The 26,072-nt window shown below is 40.3% G+C and overlaps 1 long non-coding RNA gene across 7 annotated transcripts in view, besides 3 other annotated features; it reads right to left on the bottom strand.

Moving 5' to 3' along the window:
• The window catches only part of LL0XNC01-250H12.3 (uncharacterized), a 113,164-nt gene that overhangs the window by 36,108 nt on the left and 50,984 nt on the right, over window positions 1-26,072 (bottom strand). For 4 of the 7 annotated variants that reach the window (NR_188439.1, NR_188433.1, NR_188435.1 and 1 more), the window contains exons 4-5: window positions 20,482-20,621; window positions 6,584-6,735 (exon numbers count right to left, since the gene is read on the bottom strand). This is a non-coding gene — a long non-coding RNA (uncharacterized LL0XNC01-250H12.3). The remainder of the gene's footprint in view (window positions 1-6,583; window positions 6,736-20,481; window positions 20,622-26,072) is intronic. The other 3 variants (NR_188440.1, NR_188436.1, NR_188438.1) reach the window with 1 other exon arrangement.
• Window positions 16,783-16,852: an enhancer, noted in NCBI's record as "active region_29819". NCBI's record gives its function as "activates an Ori minimal core promoter by ATAC-STARR-seq in GM12878 lymphoblastoid cells {active_cell/tissue: GM12878}" and the evidence as "EXISTENCE:reporter gene assay evidence [ECO:0000049][PMID:35858748]".
• Window positions 17,053-17,202: an enhancer, noted in NCBI's record as "active region_29818". NCBI's record gives its function as "activates an Ori minimal core promoter by ATAC-STARR-seq in GM12878 lymphoblastoid cells {active_cell/tissue: GM12878}" and the evidence as "EXISTENCE:reporter gene assay evidence [ECO:0000049][PMID:35858748]".
• Window positions 21,160-21,659: an enhancer, noted in NCBI's record as "H3K4me1 hESC enhancer chrX:102715105-102715604 (GRCh37/hg19 assembly coordinates)". NCBI's record gives its function as "activates a minimal SCP1, AML or CMV promoter by ChIP-STARR-seq in primed H9 embryonic stem cells {active_cell/tissue: H9 hESC(primed)}" and the evidence as "EXISTENCE:reporter gene assay evidence [ECO:0000049][PMID:30033119]".

Below are 26,072 nucleotides of genomic sequence, written 5' to 3'. Positions count from 1 at the left end.
ATGCTGTACAGGTTTGTAGCCTGGGAGCAACAGGCTGTACCATCTAGCCTAAGTATGTAGAAGGCTAGGTTTGTATAACTGCACTCCATGATATTACCACACTGAAACAATTTAACAACACATTTCTCAAAATGTATCCCCATCATTAAGTGACACGTGACTGTATATATATTCAACTGTTAACAGTGCTTCTCCATAAGTAGTAGACTTTTACTAGTTTTTAATTTTTTTTTTTTTTTGCTTTCCTCACTTTTCCATTTTTATCTACAACAAAAGTGTCTTGGTTTTGGAGGTGAAAATAATAATCGGAAAAAATAAATATCACCAGCCCTACCCCATAAGACGGTTCAGCTTTGGAATGGGGAACACCTCTAAGCCAAGGGAATTAAGTAGTAGGGTGGTCCCAGAACTAATGTATGAATCTATCCACATGGTAACCCCAATTGGGCAGCTTCAGGGAAATTACAGACACCTAGGAGAAGGGCCAACATGTCTCTCAAATGAAGCTTACATTTAGCAGTCAGTATCCACAGAAATCCACTCTCCAGGATTTCAGTGATGGTCACAAGATGAAAGTAGTTTCACAGCATGCTTCTCTCTGCACTCTCCCAAAGAAAGCCCCTTGAATGGAGAGTAGGCTCCTCTGTTTACCCACCTAGTTAGCCAAGCAGTGACTGCCACAGGGGTGGGAAAGAGGGAGGGACTGCATGAAACCACCCAGGGGTCAGCACCACAGCTTCCAGAGAGGAAGGATCCTAACACAGCTGGGTTTGGGGTAAAAGTTGAGTCACAGTCTCACTCAGCAAAGAACTGCAGGAACAATCAGCACATGTGAATTAAAACACTTGCGAAATACCTTCCCTGTGCAATTAAAAATATTAGAAGAAAAGGAAGGAAAATATACACAAACCCAACAATTCTAACACAAAATCAGATCAAGTTCTAAATAAGATTCACCCCTAAGCCAATAAGGGATTTGGGTGGTAGACTGGCATATCTTTTACCAGCATAGCCCAGATTAGGTTCTGGATTAGGCCTTGAAGGGTTACAGTGAGCATGAAAGACAGATAATTTGGCCCAGACAAATGGGAAGTTGTTTCATATCAGGAAACACTGAGACATTGTTTTAGGCCAGTTAGCTCCAGAGAAACTCTAAGACTTTGAACACGCTGGGAAAAAGCATTTGAAAACAGTATCTACAGGTTGTTTGTGCTCCCTATAGCGTATAAACTGAGAAAATGGATATGTCTGTTTTAGTAAGTCTGCAAGAGTACACATGACAAGGAGGCCATGCAGCTCCCACTGTTGAAATGTGATTGTGTGTTTGTTCTCCTCATGTTTCTTCATTTTTTTTCCTTTTTTTCCATGAGGTAGCCAGGCATCTATAGAAAAAACATGCTACAAAACAATACCATTCTCACTTACAGATATATGCATATGTAATAAAAGTATAGGGAAATGTCTTTAAAATCTAAAACCCGAATTCTGCATAGTGGTTACCTCTGAGAAAGAAGGAGGCTTGCAATCAGAGAAGTCTTCAAAGTGAGTTTCAACTGCATATATAATATTAGGTATGTCAACATGAGAACAGGGATGTCTCTTACATTCTATAATTTTTGTATTTCTGAAATATTTCATAACAACTGTTTCAATGAAGCTTACTTCTGACTTTTAAAAAGAACCATACTAATTTAGAAATTGTGGAAAACATAGTTAAGTCAAGAGATAAAGAATTAAGTACCGACCCACCGCTCATTAATTTTGAAGAATGTATCCTTTTTTGTGCAGTTCCTCCCGTTTTATTCTCTACGCAGTCATATTTAATGTATGAGTTTCATTTATCTGGAGACTCAACATTTCCTAAACATCATAAAACCAGTAATTAAATGTGCCCCAATTTTCTCCTCACTTTACTGATGCCAATGCCCACGTCCTTAACCATTAGGTATACAATCTTTTTCTGTGTAAGGACAGAGACCAACACAGGGGAAGTGACTCCCCATGGTCCTGTACACGAGGACAGATCTGGTATTGGGGGCCAAGGTCTCCTGATTTCAGTCCATTGCACAGCAGACCCATCTTCATGTTCTGTTATTCTGTGCTGTCTCCTTTCTGGCCCACAGTGGGAAGCTGCTATTTCAGCATCCAAATAGAAGTTTAAAAAGAAGAGAAGAACACAACAAATAAAAAGTAATGAGGCTATAATTTGCTTCCTTATTTCCACCATCCTCAGTATCTCATCTTAGAAAGAAATAGCACCAAAGCTTATACGTCATATAAATATGTATGCATTTCTTTTTCTGATGGTTCAAATCCATTGATCTCTTTGAGATGTTGATGTTTAAGTCATCTCTTGTGGGAGGGAGAACATAAGGGAGATTATACATATATTTGTTGAAGTATTAGGTACCATGTGCTTTATTTACGTTTGCTCATTCCTCCTCTTGGCTCTCTGAAGTAAATGTCATTATGCCCATTTTATAGGTTAGCAAGGTCAGGTTCAATAAGGGTAACTCACTGCTAGAGGGTCATATTCAGCTATCAAGAGGCAGGAATGGGGTATTACACAAAATACTCATTTATATATATTATTTCCCAAAGTTATCAGATTATATGTATGTTTCAGCAATTTTTCTTTCTCACTCAGCATGGTAGCCTAGGATATTAGTTTTCAGTCCTTTAGTTATTGTAATCTGGCATAGTTTTGAAAATTTAATGGGTATACAATTGTTTTTTAATGTGAATTATCTGTTAATATTATTTTCTCTATTCATTAGTAAGACTTCATTCCATATCAAGGATGTAGTGTTAAGGATTTAATATAAAAGTAACCACTGAAACAAAACAATAACCATGCTAACTACTAAATAAATAGGAAGAGGAAATCAAACACATGACCTAGTGAAAGGCTATATAATTTCCTTATATTTATAGACAATACTACAGAACTGAACTTAAATGACCAAAGACTTTGATCATATTGTGGCAAGTCAATTCTCCCTGACAATCACATAGGCAGGCCTGCATGACAGTCACACAGACAGGCCTGCATAGCACCCCAGTTACACAGACAAATTTCCACAGCGCTGCCTTAACATTGAGCAAATAGTTAAACCTAGGGAAATTGTTGCCCAGACATCAAAGCTAGAAATGACACATATGGTCAGTAGGAGCCTTGTGTGGGCTTCTCCCTTGCTGGAGCAAGCCAAAATAATAGACACAGTTTTACAATAGGACCCATCTCGGGTCGACAAAATCTGAGAGAAGTCAAGGTAACAGAGGCAGCTGTTTGAACAGATTCATTAGAGAGTCTAAGGCAGCTCTCTGGACCAAGCTGTAAAGGAGACAAGATAGAAACAATCACTCTGGTACGACAGTAGACAGTCCTTGAAGGTACTGGGGCCCTTTTAATCAGACTTAGCAAGGATTTTTTTGCCTCTGACCTTCTAGTTGAAACAAAATTAGTTACCAATAGACTTAGGCGAATGCCGTACTGCACGTAGGGACATAACCCCAACCTATATAAGCCTTAAGAAAATTTAACACCTTGAGTTGGTCTGGTGGAATTATCTCTGGCCTCCTCCCTGTATCCAGTTACAGTAATAAATTCTCTTCTTTCCTAGTTTGTCTGCTTCTTGTTATTGGGCCTCGAGAAAATGCAGCCGGACCTGGCTTGGTTCCAGGAACAACAAGAATAAAGGTAAATGGACTTAATTCACCTATTAAAGTATTTGTAAATTTCCCATTGAAGCAAAATCCAAAATTATGCTTTTTCATGAGATATACCTTAAACAAATGAATTCAGGTAGGTTAACAGTTTAAAAATAAGTAAATATATACCAAGCAATTGACCATATCAAGAAAGCAGGAGTTATAATCTTGATATTTGAGAGAGTAGAATTGAGACCAAAATGGATTTAAAGAGGTAAAAAGGCACAGTTGATAATGCTAAAGGCTACAATTCACAAGGAAAATGTGAGATACTAATACTTATATACCAAAGCACACAATACTTCCCTGAATTCAAAAATGTTCAAGTGGAGAAAAAAATTAATAATTATAGAGAAGACCTAAACAACCAAGTCCCAAGAGTAGAGCTTATAAATAGCCACAGTGAACTATGAAGCCTGATATTAAGCAATACACATGCTTTTCAAATGAGCATGGAACATTCATGAAAATGGATTCTATCTGAGGCTGTTAACAAAATCTTGGGCCCAATGAGAATAGATTAAAATTGCAGAATTTGATGAGGATAATGATGAAAGCAACATATCAAAATCTAGCTAGAGTAGCTGTCAGAAGATATTATAAAGCATTAAATATCTACATGAATAAAAAAGAAAATTAAATATTCAATTTTAAAATCCTGATTTAAAAACCCACAAAGTAAATAAAATAATGCAGATGGAAAAAAATAGTTAAGGGCAAAAGCAGAAATGAATGAGCTAAGCAATAACATCCTTGTTAAAGATCAAAGTGTTGGGATGGGAAAAAAGCAAATACTGGCATTGTGGATGATGCACCAAATACCATGCTTGGACTTGAGGAAGGTCTCCCAACAAACTCCTTATAATGCTTCCTTGAATGTAAGGATTAGGGGTGTGTGTGTGTGTGTGTGTGTGTGTGTGTGTGTGTGTGTGCAGAGAGTGAAAAAATGCAAAACAATACTACATTTTGTTTAGGGAGTTCTCATATGGAGTAAAAGAAAAAAGTAGTATAGGGGAATTATAATTATCTCACTGTGGATATGATTATCTCTAGGGAAGAAAGAAAGGGACACAATCAGGGAGGAGTAAACTTTTTTCCTAACATGGATTATCTTTATAGCTCTCTATACATTTCCTCTAAAATATTTCATAAGTAGCGGAGGTTTAAGGGATTACAGTTTTTAATCATAAATATAATCCATACTCAGCAAATGTTTAATATTGAGCCAAGTACAGAGGTTAAAAATATCAATACCCAGTAACTCTATCATGATTGAAATTAAGATTGTGTTATGTCATTCCAGTGGTTATTTTTTCGTGCATATATACACATGTACTGCAAATTATATATACAATTCATGTAACTACTATAACCATATGTGCAGTTTATTGTCTTTTTTTATATCTTTTGCTTTTATCTTAAATACTAACACAGTGATGAAGTGTTCTGATTAAATGACAAGGTATAAGATCGAACATCTTACTCTTTCCAGTTGACCCAGCCCCAATTCTTGAACAATGCATTGGAATGGAAATGCCATACCTGCAGCATATTAAATAATGTTATATGCCTGGGTGTACTCAAGAGCTTTCTATAGACTTCCTTTAATTTGCATGCTACCCAACAGTTATAAAATTACAGGTTTGAGGAACATTGTAATACCAGACAGTATAATCTCCACTCCTATCATCCAGCCTTTGGATGGATAGCACAAATAGTAATAATAATAAATGACAATATAAGATGACAACAATTATAGGACATATGGTAGATAAGTTACTTGCTCTAAATTACACAAACAGCAGTTAATGGTTCCCAGGGTCAAATCCAAGTTTTTGTAATCCCAAAGCCCACACCCCAGTCCACCGTTTCTTTTAAAAAATATTATTATTAATATTTTATAAGTACATAAACACATACACATACAGGTTTTACATGAAAAGGTTTTTTTCTGGACAAATACACAATAACTCCAAAATAGTGGTGCCACTAGAAGGGCAGTTTGGAGTCTGGAGAGAAATGGAGGTTACTTTGCATATAGAAGACTTTATAGGTAAATAATTCTCAAATATTTGGAGAAATTTCCTCTAGTAAAGGAAAGCATTGGTTAAAAGAACATCCTTTGACATTAGACAGCCTTGTATTTGTGTTTGGTTTTGTCACTTACTACATCTTAAGCAATTACTTACACCCTCTAAGCCTCAGTTTCCTTTCTACAAAAAAGATTAAAATGGTGGACACATACAAAGAAAGTATTAATTAAGATAAAACATGTAACATAACACAGGGCCTGGCACAGAGTAATCACTTAATTAATGCCATATATTATTTTTATTTCTAATAGTAGCAATAGCTCAAGACGGTTGGATGTACAGTATTTTTGGCTTCCAATGAGAGCTGTTGTCAAGACATTCTTGCAATGGCTGCCATTCTACATGAGAGCCTCTTATTCATGGTGCCATGACAAGCTAATGTGTCACAATCATTGTGTGTATTATAAGTAACTTGTTACTTGTAATACTTTACTGAAGCTTGAGGATTGTTTATGTTATAGATGAATCAGTGTTGTACCTATAAAAACTCTCTCACTCTCTTGAATTATGAAATAATTTTCTGAGTGGGAGAGAAAGGGGTGGAGTTATTCATAGCTATACAGCTGAGAATTGTGGACAACACTAGGTGTGCCAGTGGGAGTGTGCCATGTATGTGAAAACCACATCATCACAAGATAATAGTCCTTTGCTCTGGAGGGCAACTAGTTTAAAGTCAGTAAACATGAAGTTTCAGATGATTTAAGGGTTCCCTATCCACTGTTTCTATATTGAGTGTCTTTCTGTGTTAGGACTTAGACCAAGAAAGGGAAAGGACTCACTGAATGACGTATGGTCAGTTGATAGGTCTGGCAAGAGGGATACAGGTTTGATGACTCCCATCTTCTGTCTATCTGACCGATTTTATTATTTGCTCTTATGTAGTGTTTCTTCTTCCTGGGGCTCAATAAGAAATTCCTTTATGCATGTCACACTAGAAAGAAAATAAGAGAGCAGAAAGTATGTGGAATAAAAGAAATGATGAGATAGGACCAACATTCACTTCTTGCTGCTACATTTCCAGATGCTCTCTGTTTAAAATTTATTTCACAGCGCACAGGTATTTTCTCTTTGAACCTACAAGAATGTAACCCCAAGATTCAATTCAAAAAGACAAAAAGGCAGGAGCACAAGGTTCATTCTTGGCAGAACAAATTGTAACAGCAGAAGACTCAAAATGTGACAGATGTCCACCAATAAGGGACTGATCGAGTAACCTAAGATACATCTACTCCTAGAGTATAATGCAGATATAACAAGCAATGAGAACTCCCACTCTATTATGTAGTGATCTCCAAAATACATACTGTTAAGTGAATAAAAAGCAAAGAAAAAAATATGTAGAGCTGCTGCTGCCCAATATGGTAGGCACTAGCCACTGATGGCTATTTCTTCCTGATGTACAAAATACATTCATTCCAGCTCAGTAGCTCCTAAAGTCTTAATTCATTCTAGCATCAACTCAAAAGTCCAAGATCCAGAGTCTCATCTAAATCAGTTATGATTGAGACTCAAAACCCAATTCATCCTAAGGCAAATTCCTTCCAGCTGTGAGCTTGTGAATCAAAACAAGCTGTCTACTCCCAAAATACAATAGTGACACAGGTGTAGAGTAAACATTCCCATTCTAAAAGGGAGACACAGGCAAAAACAAAGGAGTAACAGGCCTCAAGCATAGTCCAAAACCCAACAGGGCCAAAAACATTAAGTCTTTTTTTGTTGTTGTTTTTTTGACAGAGTTTCCCATTTTGTCACCCAGGCTGGAGTGCCACAGCATGATCTTGGCTTACTGCAACCTTTGCCTCTAGGGCTCAAGCAATCCTCCTTCCTTAGCTTCCCGAGTAGCTGAGACCACAGATGTGCATCACCATGCCCAGCTAATTTTTGTATGTTTTGTAGAGACGGGGTTTCACCATATTGCCCAGGCTGGTCTCAAACTCCTGAGCTCAAGCAGTCCGCCCGCCTTGGCCTCCCAAAGTGCTGGGATTACAGATGTGAGCCACTGTGCAAGGCCCATTAAGTCTTAAAGCTAGAGAATCATTCTCTTTTGACTCCATGTCCTGAATACTGGGCTCACTGGGATGGGAACTGGGCCCTCAAAGCCATAGGCAGTCCGGCCTCTATGGGTTTGCTGTACTCAGTCTACTCACCAGCTCTCACAAATTGGAGTCTCATGCCTGCAGCTTTCTGAGGCTGGAGTTGCACACTGGTAACTCTATAGTTTCGGGGTCTCTGAGATGGCCATACTCAACAGCTCACTAGGTATTGCCCTAGTAGGGGCTCTTTGTGGTAGCTCCATCCCTGCAAGTCTCTGCCTGGATCTCCAGGCTGTCTGAGACATCCTTTCAAATCTAGGAGGAGGAAGTCATGCCCTCACAGCTCTTGCACTCTGTATGCCTTTAGAATTAGCAGCATATGGATACCACTAATGTTTACAGCTTGTATCTTCTGAAGCTGCAGATTGAGCCACACCTGCGGTCACTTGGGCCACAGCAACTGGGGTGGCTGAGGAGCACTGTCCTGAAATGTGGGAAGAAGAGACCCAAGTGTCTCTTTGCAGCAAGCCCATGGAAGGCATCCTGGGCTGGTCCCCCTATAGCTCTGGGTCTGTGACAAGAGGGGCAGCCTCAAAGATCTCTGAAATACTTTGGGGGACTTTTTCTCATTGTCTTGATGAATAGCATCTGGCTCCCTTCCATCCATGGTAACCTCTTTAGCAAATAGTTGCTTGGCCACACCCTTAGTATTCTCTCCTGAACACCCTTTTCATTCTACATGGCCAGGCTGTAAATTTTTCTAATTTTTTTTGCTCTGCTTCTCTTTTAATTACAAATCATACTTTAAGTCACTTATTTCTTCTCACATCTCACTGTATGTGGTTAAAAGTAGCTGTGTGGCAGCCTGAATACTTTGATGCTTAGAGATTTCTTCCACCAGATACCCTACTTCATCACTCTTAAGTTCTGCATTCCATAAAGCCCTAGAACATGGACAAAATTCAGCCAAGGTCTTTGCTACTTTATAACAGGATGGCCTTTACACCAGTTTCCTACATTGTTCCTCATTTCTTTTCTTTCTTTCTTTTTTTAATGCAGTTTGTTGCCCAGGCTGGAGTGCAATGGCGCGATCCTGGCTCACTGCAACCTCTGCCTCCTGGGTTCAAGCGATTCTCCTGCCTCAGCCTTCTAAGTAGCTGGGATTACAGGCACCTGCCACCATGCCTGGCTAATTGTTTTTTATTTTTAGTAGACACAGGGTTTCACCATGTTGGCCAGGCTGGTCTCGAACTCCTGACCTCAGGTGATCCAGCCGCCTCAGCCTCCCAAAGTGCTGGGATTACAGGCATCAGCCACTGTGCCCAGGCTGTTCATCATTTCTGTCTGAGACTTTATCAGAATGGCCTTTACTGTCCATATTTCTACCAACATTCTGGTCACCATCCCTTGAAGTACTTTAAGGCTTAAATACTATCTAAGAAGATTCAGACTTTTCCTACAGCTCTGCTCTTCTGAGTCCTCACCAGAATTGCCATTATAGCTCCATTTATGGCAGTCTAGGCTTTTTCTAGCCTGTTCATTCAAATTCTTCCAGTCTCTACCCATCACTACCTAGCTCCAAAGCTGCTTCCACATTTTCAGGTATTTGTTATAGCCACAGCCCATGTCTCGGTACCAATTTTCTGTTAGTCCATTTTCTGCTGTTATAACAGAATAGTACTGACTGGGTAATTTATAAATAAATAAAATTTATTTCTCACAGTTCTGGAGACTGGGAAGTCCAAAAGCATGGCTCCAGCATCTGGCAAGGGCCTTCATGCTACATCATAACTTGGCAGAAGGGCAAGTGAGCACATGAGACAGAAAGAGGAAGTAGGACTGAACTCATTCAGTAGTTTAGGAGCCCACTCTCATGATAACTAGCCCACTCCCACAATAACAGCATTAATCCACTCATAAGGGTGGATCCCTTATGGGCTAATCACTGCTTAAAGTCACCTCTTCTTAATACTGTTACAATGGCTGTTATATTTCAATTGGAGGGGACATTCAAAGTATAGCACCCAACAACCTCTTCTGTATATGATGCCCCACCAAGGGTTAGGGACTGGTCATTGTACAATCCCCATGCCTGTTCACTCAACAACCCCTTTGGTGATGATGATGAGGTTGATGATGGTGGAAGTGAAATCCTCTGCTTGGGGCCAAGAGACCTTGGTATGTGGATCATGTGAATTGACTGGCATTTAAGATGGCAGACAGGCTTATTCAGAATAATAGGTGCTTCCTCTGGGACAAAGATCTGGAGGGTAGGAAACTAATGTTGACAAAACTAATTATAAAGAAGATGTACTCTAAGTTGTATCTCCTTTAATCTTAACATTTATTCAAGTAACCTATTATTAAATGCATAGTTTAGATCAAGTTATAGGAAATTAAGAGAGGTTGTGTAAACCAGAGAAACTGCTTTGGTTATTGTCTCCTCAGGAGTGGAGTCTGGAATTTCACTAAAGCTTTTCATGTGTTCTGAAGCCTCCAGGAATCTGAATGCTCTAATCTCCCTGGACAATAACAATCAATGCTGCCCTGGTCATTGCTTAATTTATTTATATAATGATCTGTATATTAAATTATAATATTGAAAATTTTAAAACACTGTATATGACAAAATAAATCATTAAAGCTTGTCTCAGTAGGTTAGAGTAAATATGTACAAATTATATGGAGCTAATTCTCATGATATATAAAGCATTCCCAGTAGCCAATATGGAAAGAAGGTCTGATGATGTTATGGTAGGCACCCTCTAAAATTGTCCCCTATGATCCCCATTTTCCTTGTGTATTCACTCCCTGTATAATCTGTCCCATAGTGTGGGCTAGAGTTAGTGACTTGCTACTAAAAATTAAAATATGTGAGAAGGGATGGGATGTCACTTCTGAGATCAAGTGACAAAAAGCTGTGTTGTGCATTCTTATAGATGCGCTAAGGAGAGCCAGTTGCCATGATATGAGCTATCCATGTGACAATCGATGTCTCTGCCCAAGAACTATTGAGGCCCTGAGGCCTGCTAACAGCCATATAAATGAGCTTGGAATTGGATCCTCCCTCCGTTGAGCCTTGAGATGGCTGTAGTCCCTACCTAGACCTTGATTGCAGCCTTGTGAGAGACTCTGAGCCAGAACCTAAACTGTGCCATGATTCCTAACCCACAGAAATGATGTGTATTAATATGTTTGTTGCTTTAAGTAGCAAAATTTGGAGGTAATTGGTTATGCAAGATAGCTAATACAGATATAAACAGAGAATTCATGTAAACAGCAATATACATGCCCAAGAAACATTTAAAAACACATTCACTAATGAAATGCAAATAAAAACCTGGATAGATGCTGTTTTTCTGAAAAAAGGCAAGCTGCAGAGCCATATGGGTGATGAGAGCTTAAAAATCCCATAGAAGGCCAGGATGCCTGACCTAAGAGAGTCACGGGGACTCACCTTTCTTGAATGCTGGTGCATTTTTATTTCATGTATTTCCACAACATTATCAGGAGGTAGAGGTAATAACCTCTATGTGATTTTATAGCTAGAGAAGCAATAATGTTTGTAGGTTAAGTAGTCTGGCTGGGGAGTGTTGGGAGAAAGGCTTATGGGGTACCTGTATAAACTGGCCATAAAAATATGGGACAATAAGTTGTGGAAAGCCACAAGAGGCCTCTGAGGAGGAAAGTCTTCTTATCGCCATTATGTTCCCATGCTCTGAGCGAGACTTGCTCTCTTATCTATAAACACTGTGTTCAAGGAGAAAGACACTCCTTTGAAGCACTGGAATATGGCCAGATGTGCAGGCTCCTAGTTAAGCCCGCTCCCACTAGCTACTCTCCCATAAGTTAAAGATACGCTGTTTGAGCACAAAGGAGATTCATTTGCTATAGATTACACCTGCCTCCCTTTCACCGTTTCGCCCTGAACGCCTGCTTCTTAGATCTAAGTGATTGTACTCAACAAATAGTGTGGAGACCAGAGCTTGGCGCCTTTTGCAGCCTCCATTTTGCAATTGGTCCCCTGGCCCCCACTCTTTATGCACTCTTAACCTGTCTCTTCTCATTCCTTCATCGCCACCGGACTTTGGGTACCCTACGGGTGGTGTTGAGGCTGGTCCTCAACAGAGGAGCATTCTACAATAAGTAGAAAAGTAGAGACCAGCACCCCGTAAGGCCCCATGCAGACTGTATGATGCTGAGCTGCATATCACATGATAACCAAGTAAATCTTGCTTTCCTGCTGACCTGGGTCACTACTGACATCTGTATCTTCACCTCTGAAGCCAGGCTGCTAGTTCTGCCTCTCTTTCTGATCAGAGAATCTTGTTGTACATCAATATCCTGCTCTGCAAAGACAAGGGAATGTGTCTGGGTCAGTGCTTTAGAAAGTAGAGTTCCCAGACAACCTACATCATGAGGAATATGCATCCTCTAATAGAGGGGCAGTTGTCACACTGAGGATGAATACTTGAAGGGACAGGCTCCAAATACATACAGAGTGGGGATGCACAGACTATTTAAAAGATATTGCCAAATCAACCTGGAAAGAGGTTGTACGAAGTGATATCCCCTCCCCCAATATGAGACAGAGTAGACCTACCCATATGCACACCTCACTGAAATCCTCGATGGTTTTTTAAAATACTTTGATAACATGACAGGTGGAAATTCTCTCATTTTCATCATATTTAACTGGATACTAAGGTAATTTTTAAATAATTCCCTAATAAACACTCTGTTAATCATCATTATTGCTATTTTTTTAAATGCAAAAGGGTCCAGTTACATATGCAGCCTAACAGACAATAAGCAACAAGCACATGAGCCTGTAGGTTCTCCTAGGGCTACTGCTGGCATTAAGGCTCCAGGGTGTATATGTGTGTGTGTGTGTGTGTGTATTTGTGTGTGTTTGTGTGGTCTCTGGTGGCTCCTAATGACAGTGCATTTGCCTAGAAGATTAAGAATGTCTCTCTGGGATATTGGTTGAGTTCAAGTTTAGAGAGGAGCTGGATCTACACGTTCTGGAGTCTTTCTGAATGACACAAGAGCTGGACCACAACTTACTTCTGAGTAGGCTGTAATCCTGTCCCCATGATAGAAAACAAGCCTGTCTGAGACCTCACCTACTCAGGTCAGTGTGGATCCCTCTAGCATGTAAGGTGTGGTAGTCTGCCTAAATCTACTTCTGAACACTGTAGCTGGGTGCTCCCATCTTGCTGCCATCAGTTGTAGAGACCTGGGAAGCTGCATCCTCTCAGCCACCTAACTCCACGGGTTCAGTCATCTGCATAAAAGCTCTGCGCTGGGAGATAAAAATTTGTGAATTATCAGCATGTTTGACACATTGTGCATCCACCCATTCAGTCATTCCTCAGTTAACAGTTACTAGGCATTAAGGCCAAACTCTACACCATCCCTTTGGTTAAGTTTTAGGCTTCCCCAGAATAGAAACAAGAAAGTGAAGTGTGGAAAGGAGGGTGTGGTAAATTCAGATGGCAGATCTAAGAAGAGATGGCTCCTTCCCACTAACAGATTAATCATAGAGACTCATCACTGATGATTGTAAAACATAGTTCAGTGCCATGGACCCATTTCTACATCTTTAGTTGATATCCTCTTTACATATATTCTCCCATTTACAATCAATATTCTATGAAGAATTCTCAATACTCAACTCACTTCCCTCTGCACTTCCCTACACCTCAGTCTTCATTTCTCATCTACTGGGACTTGGTTCCCCCACCCTTCCACTGAAATGAACTCTCCCAAGTCTACAGCCACCTCTTTGTCACATTTATAGATCAAGAGTGTTGAAATAAATGTTCAAATGGAGATAAACAGGTACTTTCCCAGGGGGAAAAGGTTTCCCTCCCCCAAGACAGAATTCATTTCCTTGTGTCTATAGACAAAGATAGCATGCAATGCTATCAGTTACCTAAAAGGTAGAGTTGTAAAACAGCTTTCAGAGTCAGATAACCAGAAGGCTAAGCTGCAGACGACATGCTTTCAAATGAAGCACACATTTTACCTGACACAGCTTATACTTTTGCTTCATCGACAGGGAGTTCATAAATAGGTTTACTTTATGTTAGCAGTAATTTTTATGGCTACTTCAATAATCTTGCCTTATCTGTTTTTTATTTCTGTCTCAAGGGGTACCAAGTAGGCAATGAAATAAAGTGAAATTATAATGCTGTTCCAAACTTTGCCATGATTAAATATATTATCTAAAAGCACTAATATATCACAATTAGAAAATATAGTGGTGATGAAATATAATTGCGGTGATAGGGAGCTCTTTTGCAGTTTCCTGATAGTTAAGTCAAAATTCTTTTACTGTACCACTGAAATAATGATGCTGGAATTCTTCGGGGATATATCCATTAAGTAAAATATTTCAACTTTAAAATAAGTATGCATAAATCCATACTGATATAAGTAAATGTTTGGTGAATTAATAAAGAAAAGCATGTGAGAAGACAAACAGTCTTTATGGAATGATTGCAAATAGTATTTGTAGCTACTAACCCTCCAAGAGGTGAAGCTTAATCCTGAATGAAGGTCACACTTAGTGACTCACTTCTCAGGAACATAGTACGTGAATTGAAAAAGTTACTGTACATTGGAAAACTTGGCAAACACGACTTTAACTATGTGATGAAGGTTAACATCACCAGTGAGGTCATGTCATCATGTAAACCCAAATATTATGTGATAAGAAGGGCACTTCAACTCTGTGGTATTCTTTCTGAAATTCCATAATGCTGGTCTAATCATGAGAAAAAGACAACAGATTAAGGCTGTACTCCTCAAGACTGTCAAGGTCAATAAAATATTCTGAGAGTTCCTCATATTGTCAAGCAGAGAACTGCCATATAACCCAGCAACTTTACTCCCAGGTACATACTCAAGAGAAACGGAAACCTATGTCTACATAAAAACTTGCACAAAAAATATATGTAGCATCATAATTCATAATGGCCGAAAACTGGAAACAACTCAAGTGTTCACCAATTGATGAGTGGATAAAAAAATGTGGTATATCAATAAAAAGGAATAAAGTACTGATACATGCTACAAAATAGATAAACCTTAAAAACATTATGTGAAGTGAAAGAAGCCAGACACAAAAGATGAATATTGCATGATTCCACTTCTATGAGATGTCCAGAATAGGTAAATCCACAGAAACACAAAGCATACCTGTGATTCCTGGAGCTGGGGGTGAAAGCAGGGATTAACTGCGTTCAAGTATGATGGGACATTTTATAGTGATGGAAACCTCCAAAACTCAACTACGGTGATGGTTGCACAACTTTTGTTTACTGAAAATCATCAAGTTGTATCCTTAAAACTGCGAATTTCATTGTCTGTAATTATATTGCAAGAAAGCCTTCTGTTGTACCTCAGTAATGACCAAACTTTTTCATATGAAGGCCTTGATGCCCATGTTTTCTATACCCATGAATATATATAAAACCGTAGCTGTATCCCAGCCCTGCTGACTGTGTCCTAAGTAACTCCAAGCAATGGCAGTCTCTCCCTGCCCCACCACCACCACCCCTCACGCTGACTCGGGCTTTGCTTGTATGAAAAATTCGAGTTGCACCTGATCACTTCCACATCTTCTAACTGTGGAAGAAACTGGAGAGTGGGTCCACAACAGCATCCAGGGCCTCCACTCTAACATGACATCAGCATTATTATTTTTTACTCCTCTTGGGATTTTCTCCTGTGACTCCACCTGAGGAATCTAAATGGCATTACCTCTCTGGGTGTCAGTATTGCAATACTTATCAAAGGGCTACATAGGTGCACACCCTTTGCACCAACAATTTACCTTTTAGAAGTTTATCTTCAGGACATTGTGAAGGATGCTGATAAGCATCTGGTTATAAGTACTGTCATTCTGAAAATTCCCTTCCTTTATTTCTGGGCCTGAATTTAGGAAGAAAGACCAACCGGTACACCAAATTATGAAGGGGCAGAAGGAAGCAGAGGGAAATGCTGTGCACACACACAAGCAGTGACAAATACACACACATGTACAGCAACCAGGTTCTGTTATTAGTACTGTAATAACCTCCAAGACAGTTAGTAAGGCTCTAAGAGGACCCATTTGGCTCACCAGTGTAAACAGCTACAGGAACTGTGCCCTTCAGCCATGCACAGACTCTGAAAAGATGTCTTCCACACAGTGTAGATAACAGGGAATATCAGAACACTCTGACTAACACAGGTTTGAGAAAACTGATGTCATATCCATAGGATGGAATTCTAGAATTCAGCAAAACAAGTTTTAATGAAGATAACGATGAGAGGTGATTTGTTGCCTGTAAGATTAGCAATGATTCACATTATTTCTAATGTGTGAAGACACAAGGTCCTTACATACTGTTATGTAAGGAATATAAGTTAGAAATAGTATTTGGATTTCACTATGTTAATATAAAATTTTACAGTTCCCAGGGTTTTGAAAGACCACTTCCAGGAACTTTTTTTTTTTTGACAGAAATGCTTACAAATATATTTGCATATATATGAGGAGGATATTAAGTATACTATTGTTTGTAACAGGAAAAAATGTTAAAGCAACTACATTTTTATGACTGGGATACTAATTAAATGAATTTTTGGGGCACCCACATGATGAACCACCTGGTTGATAAAAAAAAGAGACTACAATTATTTTTGGAAGGAAATTTAAAACATTATTATGGAAACGCATGTGTATGCAAAGATGATCACAATGAGGGCAAATGTGGGTCACAAAGATCACTTAGTGGCCAAGATGCATTTTTGCTTATATAGGTCTATAGCTATTTATCCAGAGGTTTGAAAGCATAAACACAGAAATGATCATTTTGTGCTTTCACATAGCACATAAAGAGGCTACACTTTCTGTCTGGTGGCCGTCAGTATCCCTGTACAGTGGGAATGCCCATTTTTCTACTCACACTTCCAGAAAACTCTGTAGGGTGTGCATGGGCCACAGCACCTCCCTCCCACCTTCCTGCTCAGCGATGTTCAAGCTGCTGCAGTTCAGGCTTCTGTCATGAGGGGGCATCACTGTACCACTATTATCAAACTTCTCTACAAAGTGTAAGCAAGGAGCAGAAAAATACGGTATCCTCCCCTAAAACCCAGTCTATGAAAGGAACTGCAGAATGATTCTGTCTGGAAAAAAAAAACAACCCTGACAGGTGTAAAAAAGAGTGTAAAAACATACTGTGGGACATCCATAGGATGAAACACCAGGTAGGTCTGATGTGCCTTGGCTGTTGCTGGGAGGCAGGATTGGGGGAGCCCAGGGCAGCAGGAAGTGACTGAAAGGATGAGGCGCTGGAGTGGGGTCTGGGCAGATGTGTCCACAATGTCTTGGAGAGGGGGGTCAGTGGGAGGGAGTGGGAGAGAGTCTGAGAAGCCTGTACAGGGTTGGAGTGATGGGTGGTGAACACCCTGCTCTCCAGGAGGGACCCCCCCCTACAGCGTGGACACCTCAACCTACGCTAATGAAGGAAAAAATAAATTACTGAATGCGCTGTAGATTTGGAATCAACAGCAAATTGGCCTGCTTTAATATACAAATGGGTATTCCGAACTATTGGTATCACAGTAAAGAAAAGTTTCATAACATTACTTACTCTGCGAAATTTACCCCTTTTCATTAAGAAAGAGCAAGGAACGTGGAGATAGCTGTAATGCCTCTTGGTGGCCAGAGTCAGGATTGCAACTCTGAGTGTAGACCAGGGGACTCAGCAGCGGGCAGGGAGGGATGAAAGTTGGGAGCTTGATTAATGGGATCAGACATGGTTTTCTGGAACTTTTCACTTACATCCAGCTATCCTTCTGTATCCATCATTTTTTCTGGAATATTAACAGAAGCACTTTTTGTGGGATATCTAAATCTGAGATCAGAAGCCAGTCCTGGTCTGAACTGAAGATAATACTGCAACTGTGAGCTGTACTTGAGGTGGTGGAGCTAGACTAGCTAGAAACACACACACACACACACACACACACACACACACACACACACACACTCCATTCATTTTTTAAAATCTGCTTTGTTTCCCCATAAAATTGGCTACAATGAATGCTTTTCCAAAGCAAAAAAAATATATATATATATATGGAATATATGTGCACATTACTTTTGTCAATCTGATGATAAGTATTTTGTTTTCAATTTTTATTAAAATACTTTTTCCCCCCGAATACAAAATTTCAAACACTATGCAAAAGCACTTCAATACATTTAAATCATCCTGCATCTCTCACTGACCCTACTCCTACCCCCTGGCCCCAAGGGGTCTGTTGTCCCTTAGGATAATGCACGCTCTCCAGACGCATCCCTGTAGGTGACGTGCACACGAACATGTTCGACCCCCAACACACATCATAGTCCTCTCCAAAAGTGCAATCACAGTCCTCATCTTCTTTGACAACCTATCTTTTCCACTTAAGATACCCCTCCCTCTCCCTCCTCCTTCTTCCTCTTCCTCTTCTTCTTCCTCTCTCTCTCTCTCTCCTCTTTTCCCTTCAAAGTTAAAGCTCTAAAAATAGTTTTCTGCATTCCTTGTTAACATTCTTTATTCGCCACTAACCCCCTATCCCACTGCACTATGACTTCCATTGCCAGGATTGTAATGAATGTGATCTTACCAAGGTCACCATTCACCTTTTTGTTACTAGGGCCAGTGTTTGTATACATCTATTAACATACTAAGTATTACTTTAAATGCATTCCTAAAACATGCACGCTTGTGCAGACTGTTTCTTTCACCTAAGAAATCTGTGACAGTTTTCAGGCTCTGAAGCATGACATCCTGGACACAAATCCAAGCTGTCCCACTCCCTAACTGTGTAGTCTCAGGCAAAGTCCTTATTCTCTCTGCCACTCAGTTTCTCATCTATAAAGTGGGAATCAGCAAGGATATCTCTTTTTTTGAACATTACTATTACCTTTATTTATTTTTTCAATTGATATATAATATAGGGTTACATATTTTGGGGGGTACATGTGAAAATTTAACACACTCATATATTTGTAAAGATCATATCAGTATAACTGAGATATCCATCACCTTAACTATTTGTTTTCTTTATGCTAGAAACATCTAAATTATTCTCTTAACTATTTTGAAATACACAACCTGCATTCTTAAAATCTCTAATTTTCACTACAACCAACCTTGGATGACCTAAATTTTAATTAACTTAAGAACATCTCAAAAGCACTTGGAATGACTGATCTCACAAAATAGCACTATCGTTTTTCCACATGGCTGTACAAAAAGCTGAGGGGTCATACTTTATTCTGCCTTATCCCCACATACTTCACACACACAGCTACTACAGGTCTTACCCTCCCTACCTCCAAACACATACTGTCAAGGTCCATTTCTCCCTCTACACATGGCTGCAGCATTGATACCATCAGCTTGCTCCTCCCTAGACTTCCGCAATATTTTCTAATGGTTATTCTCACACACTATCTTCTCCCTCTCTAGTCCATTCTTTGCACAGTGACCAGAGTCACTTTCTGAAAACATGAGTCAGATGATATTGTTCCCATTCTCTAACCCTCCACACTCACAATACAATCCAAACTCCTTACAATGGCTTAAACAATATTGCTCCTATCTGCCCCTTCAACCTCATCTCACCAGTCTGTGCATTGTCTGCCAGGCTCTAGGCACTTGAGCTTTTCCCTGCTCTTGGAACACACGGTGCCCATGCACATTGTATACACACTGGCAAAAAGTCAGTCTGTGCCTAGCTTCTTTTTGTTATCCAGGACTCAGCTCAAATGTCACTTCCTGAAAAGGAGCTTCACTTACAACCCCATCTGTAATTATCTTTATCTTGGTCATTTAATACTCTATATGTGTTAAAACACAAATCCCCATATGAAATTACCCTGCTCATTGATCTGTTTACCTACTTATTACCAGTTTTCTCAAACTAGAAATGATATGTCCGGGGACCATGTTTGTCTTGTTCTCTGTGCTGTTTCCCCGGTGCTTAGATCAATGCTCCACACATAAATCACTGAATGAAAATTACTGAATTAAAGGAACTGGTACCTATTTCACAAAACAGAAATGACACAGATATTAAAAGCAAAGTAGTAGGAGCAACCAATGATGAAATTAGACATGAAAGGATTCAAATTTTTCATAGACCTTGTTGCAAATCCACAGCAGTGCTTTTCAAACATGGATGAGTACCACAACCAATTGGAAAAATTTCTCAAAATATAGATACCTGCCACCACATCTCCCTGTTTTTCATTCAGCTGACTTATGGTAGACCCAAATATCTACTATTTTAACAGGCAATCCATGATGATTTTGATGAAGTAGTCCACGAACCATACTTGGCAAAATTCTGATGAAAACACCTCACATTACTGTGCCATTAATTTAATGCCCACCATGGAGAACTCTAGGACATCTGGATTGTCTCTGTTAAGGTAATTACTCAAAAGTGACTGGTCCTTCCCTCCCACCTAAGATCACAGTTTGCTTTCCCATATGAGTTCATTGTTAATCTCCAGAGTATTCTTGAGTGGTCAGGAAGATTGGGAATTATTATCCTGTTGAATAGATGAGGCTGGTGTAAGGGAAGTGACTCACCTAATATGTCCCAATGATGAGACTTTCATCGCTTCACTCTTGCTCCAGTAGCCTGTCTAGCAGACTCCACATCACATTTGGTTTTTCTCTGTTAGCTCCTAGTTCTAGGGCACAGAGTACACCCCTTCTCTGATGTTACACTAGAAGGGAGATAAGAAAGCACATGGAATAGTGAGGAAAGAAAGAGGACAGGTAAGGAGGTTGTACGTGTGATGATGTTTTGCCTATACCCCATTCAGTTAACTGGAAGCTAAGCAATGAGGTTTTTCCTCTCCCTCAGCTTCATCTCACTGTCCCCACCACCACACAGCAGTGATACTCAAGATTGCACATGACAGGCTGGGCACAGTGGCTCACGCCTGTAATCCCAGCCCTTTGGGAGGCCAAGGTGGGCAGATCACAAGGTCAGGAGACTGAGACCGTCCTGGCTAACATGGTGAAACCCTGTCTCTACTAAAAATACAAAAAAATTAGCCAGGCATGGTGGCATGTGCCTATAATAGTCCCAGCTACTTGGAAGGCTGAGGCAGGAGAATCACTTGAACCCAGGAGGCAGAGGTTGCAGTGAGCCGAGATTGCATCATTGCACTCCAGCCTGGGCACCAAAGCAAGACTCCATCTCAAAAAAAAAAAAAAGATTGCACATAATAAGAAATGATAATAGAAATGTAGACTTAAGTCTTAGCCAAGATGGCCGAATAGGAACAGTTCCAGTCTACAGCTCCCAGCGTGAGCGACGCAGCAGATGGGTGATTTCTGCATTTCCAACTGAGGTACCAGGTTCATCTCACTAGGGAGTGCCAGACAGTGGGTGCAGTGCACCGTGCGTGAGCTGAAGCAGAGCAAAGCATTGCCTCACCCAGGAAGCTCAAGGGGTCAGGGAATTCCCTTTCCTAGTCAAAGAAAGGGGTGACAGAAGGCACCTGGAAAATTGGGTCACTCCCACCCTAATACTGCGCTCTTCCAATGGGCTTAACAAACGGCACACCAGGAGATTATATCCCGCACCTAGCTCGAAGGGTCCTATGCCCACGGAGCCTCCCTCATTGCTAGCACAGCAGTCTGAGATCAAACTGCAAGGTGGCAGTGAGGCTGGGGGAGGGGCGCCCGCCATTGCTCAGGCTTGAGTAGGTAAACAAAGCAGCCAGGAAGCTCGAACTGGGTGGAGCCCACCACAGCTCAAGCAGGCCTGCCTGCTTCTGTAGGCTCCACCTCTGGGGGCAGGGCAGACAAACAAAAGACAGCAATAACCTCTGCAGACTTAAATGTCCCTGTCTGACAGCTTTGAAGAGAGTAGTGGTTCTCCCAGCACGCAGCTTGAGATCTGAGAATGGACAGACTGCCTCCTCAAGTGGGTCCCTGACTCCCGAGTAGCCTAACTGGGAGGCAGCCCCCAGTAGGGGCAGACTGACACCTCACACGGCCGGGTACTCCTCTGAGACAAAACTTCCAGAGGAACGATCAGACAGCAACATTTGCTGTTCACCAATATCCACTGTTCTGCAGCCTCCGCTGCTGATACCCAGGCAAACAGGGTCTGGAGTGGACCTCCAGTAAACTCCAACACACCTGCAGCTGAGGGTCCTGACTGTTAGAAGGAAAACTAACAAACAGAAAGGACATCCACACCAAAAACCCATCTGTACATCACCATCATCAAAGACCAAAGGTAGATAAAACCACAAAAATGGGGAAAATACAGAGCAGAAAAACCGGAAACTCTAAAAATCAGAGTGCCTCTCCTCCTCCAAAGGAACACAGCTCCTCACCAGCAACAGAACAAAGCTGGATGGAGAATGACTTTGACGAGTTGAGAGAGGAAGTCTTCAGAAGATCAAACTACTCCAAGCTAAAGGAGGAAGTTTGAACCCATGGCAAAGAAGTTAAAAACCTTGAAAAAAGATTAGATGAATGGCTAACTAGAATAACCAATGCAGAGAAGTCCTTAAAGGACCTGATGGAGCTGAAAACCAGGCACGAGAACTACGTGACAAATGCACAAGCCTCAGTAACGGATGCGATCAACTGGAAGAAAGGGTATCAGCGATGGAAGACGAAATGAATGAAATGAAGCATGAAGAGAAGTTTAGAGAAAAAAGAATAAAAAGAAACGAACAAAGCCTCCAAGAAATATGGGACTATGTGAAAATACCAAATCTACATCTAATTGATGTACCTGAAAGTGACGGGGAGAATGGAACCAAGTTGGAAAACACTCTGCAGGATATTATCCAGGAGAACTTCCCCAATCTAGCAAGGCAGGCCAACATTCAAATTCAGGAAATACAGAGAACACCACAAAGATACTCCTCGAGAAGAGCAATTCCAAGACACATAATTGTCAGATTCATCAAAGTTGAAATGAAGGAAAAAATGTTAAGGGCAACCAGAGAGAAAGGTCGGGTTACCCACAAAGGAAAGCCCATCGGACTAACAGCTGCTCTCTCGGGAGAAACTCTACAAGCCAGAAGAGAGTGGGGCCCAATATTCAACATTCTCAAAGAAAAGAATTTTCAAGCCAGAATTTCATATCCAGCCAAACTAAGCTTCATAAGTGAAGGAGAAATAAAATACTTTACAGACAAGCAAATGCTGAGAGATTTTGTCACCACCAGGCCTGCCCTAAAAGAGCTCCTGAAGGAAGCACTAAACATGGAAAGGAACAACTGGTACCAGCCACTGCAAAAACATACCAAATTGTAAAGACCACTGAGGCTAGGAAGAAACTGCATCAACTAATGAGCAAAATAACCACCTAACATCATAATGACAGGATCAAATTCACACATAACAATACTAACCTTAAATGTAAATGGGCTAAATGCTCCAATTAAAAGGCACAGACTGGCAAATTGGATAAAGAGTCAAGACCCACAGTGTGCTGTACTCAGGAAACCCATCTCACGTGCAGAGACACACATAGGCTCAAAATAAACGGATGGAGGAAGATGTACCAAGCAAACGAAAACAAAAAAAAGCAGGGGTTGCAATCCTAGTCTCTGATAAAACATACTTTAAACCAACAAAGATCAAAAGAGACAAAGAAGGCCATTACATAATGGTAAAGGGATCAATTCAACGAGAAGAACTAACTATCCTAAATATATATGCACCCAATACAGGAGCACCCAGATTCATAAAGCAAGTCCTTAGTGACCTACAAAGAGACTTAGACTCCCACACAATAATAATGGGAGACTTTAACACCTCACTGTCAACATTAGACAGATCAACGAGACAGAAAGTTAACAAGGATATCCAGGAATTGAACTCAGCTCTGCACCAGGCGGACCTAATAGACATCTACAGAACTCTCCACCCCAAATCAACAGAATATACATTCTTCTCAGCACCACACCACACCTATTCCAAAATTGACCACATAGTTGGAAGTAAAGCACTCCTCAGCAAATGGAAAAGAACAGAAATTATAACAGACTGTCTCTCAGACAACAGTGTGATCAAACTAGAACTCAGGATTAAGAAACTCACTCAAAACCACTCAACTACATGGAAACTGAACAACCTGCTCCTGAATGACTACTGGGTACATAACGAAATGAAGGCAGAAATAAAGATGTTCTTTGAAACCAACGAGAACAAAGACACAACATACCAGAATCTCTGGGACACATTCAAAGCAGTGTGTAGAGGGAAATTTATAGCACTAAATGCCCACAAGAGAAAGCAGAAAAGATCTAAAATTGACACCCTAACATCACAATTAAAAGAACTAGAGAAGCAAGAGCAAATACATTCAAAAGCTAGCAGAAGGCAAGAAATAACTAAAATCAGAGCAGAACTGAAGGGGATAGAGACACAAAAAACCCTTCAAAAAATCAATGAATGCAGGAGCTGGTTTTTTGAAAAGATCAACAAAATTGATAGACCGCTAGCAAGACTAATAAACAAGAAAAGAGAGAAGAATCAAATAGATGCAATAAAAAATGATAAAGGGGATATCACCACTGATCCCACAGAAATACAAACTACCATCAGAGAATACTATAAACACCTCTATGCAAATAAACTAGAAAATCTGGAAGAAATGGATAAATTCTTCGACACATACACTCTCCCAAGACTAAACCAGGAAGAAGTTGAATCTCTGAATAGACCAATAACAGGCTCTGAAATTGAGGCAATAATTAATAGCTTACCAACTAAAAAATGTCCAGGACCAGATGGATTCACAGCCGAATTCTACCAGAGGTAAAAGGAGGAGCTGGTACCATTCCTTCCGAAACTATTCCAATCAATAGAAAAAGAGAGAATCCTCCCTAACTCATTTTATGAGGCCAGCGTCATCCTGATACCAAAGCCGGGCAGAGACACAACAAAAAAAGAGAATTTTAGACCAGTATCCCTGATGAACATTGATGCAAAAATCCTCAATAAAATACTGGCAAACCGAATCCAGCAGCACATCAAAATGCTTATCCACCATGATCAAGTGGGCTTCATCCCTGGGATGCAAGGCTGGTTCAACATACGGAAATCAAAAAATGTAATCCACCATATAAACAGAACCAAAGACAAAAACCACATGATTATCTCAACAGATGCAGAAAAGGCCTTTGACAAAATTCAACAATGCTTCATGCTAAAAACTCTCAATAAATTAGGTATTGATGGGATGTATCTCAAGATAATAAGAGCTATTTATGACAAACCCACAGCCAATATCATACTGAATGGCCAAAAACTGGAAGCATTCCCTTTGAAAACTGGCACAAGACAGGGATGCCTTCTCTCACCACTCCTATTCAACATAGTGTTGGAAGTTCTGGCCAGGGCAATCAGGCAGGAGAAAGAAATAAAGGGTATTCGATTAGGAAAAGAGGAAGTCAAATTGTCCCTGTTTGCAGATGACATGATTGTATATCTAGAAAACCCCATTGTCTCAGCCCAAAATCTCCTTAAGCTGATAAGCAACTTCAGCAAAGTCTCAGGATACAAAATCAATGTGCAAAAATCAGAAGCATTCTTATACACCAATAACAGACAAACAGAGAGCCAAATCATGAGTGAACTCCCATTCACAATTGCTTCAAAGAGAATAAAATACCTAGGAATCCAACTTACAAAGGATGTGAAGGACCTCTTCAAGGAGTACGACAAACCACTGCTCAATGAAATAAAAGAGGATATAAACAAATAGAAGAACATTCCATGCTCATGAGTAGGAAGAATCAATATCATGAAAATGGCCATACTGCCCAAGGTAATTTATACATTCAGTGCCATCCCTATCAAGCTACCAATGACTTTCTTCACAGAATTGGAAAAAACTACTTTAAAGTTCATATGGAACCAAAAAAGAGCCTGCATTGCCAAGTCAATCCTAAGCCAAAAGAACAAAGCTGGAGGCATCACGCTACCTGACTTCAAACTATACTACAAGGCTACAGTAACCAAAACAGCATGGTACTGGTACCAAAACAGAGATATAGACCAATGGAACAGAACAGAGCCCTCAGAAATAATGTCACATATCTACAACTATCTGATCTTTGACAAACCCGACAAAAACAAGCAACGGGGAAAGGATTCCCTGTTTAATAAATGGTGCTGGGAAAACTGGCTAGCCA

The sequence above is a fragment of the Homo sapiens genome, chromosome X (assembly GCF_000001405.40).
Source record: "Homo sapiens chromosome X, GRCh38.p14 Primary Assembly".
NCBI classification, from domain to species: domain Eukaryota; kingdom Metazoa; phylum Chordata; class Mammalia; order Primates; family Hominidae; genus Homo; species Homo sapiens.
Note: the sequence above shows the minus strand (reverse complement) of the source record. Positions and strands in the feature narration are given on the sequence as shown.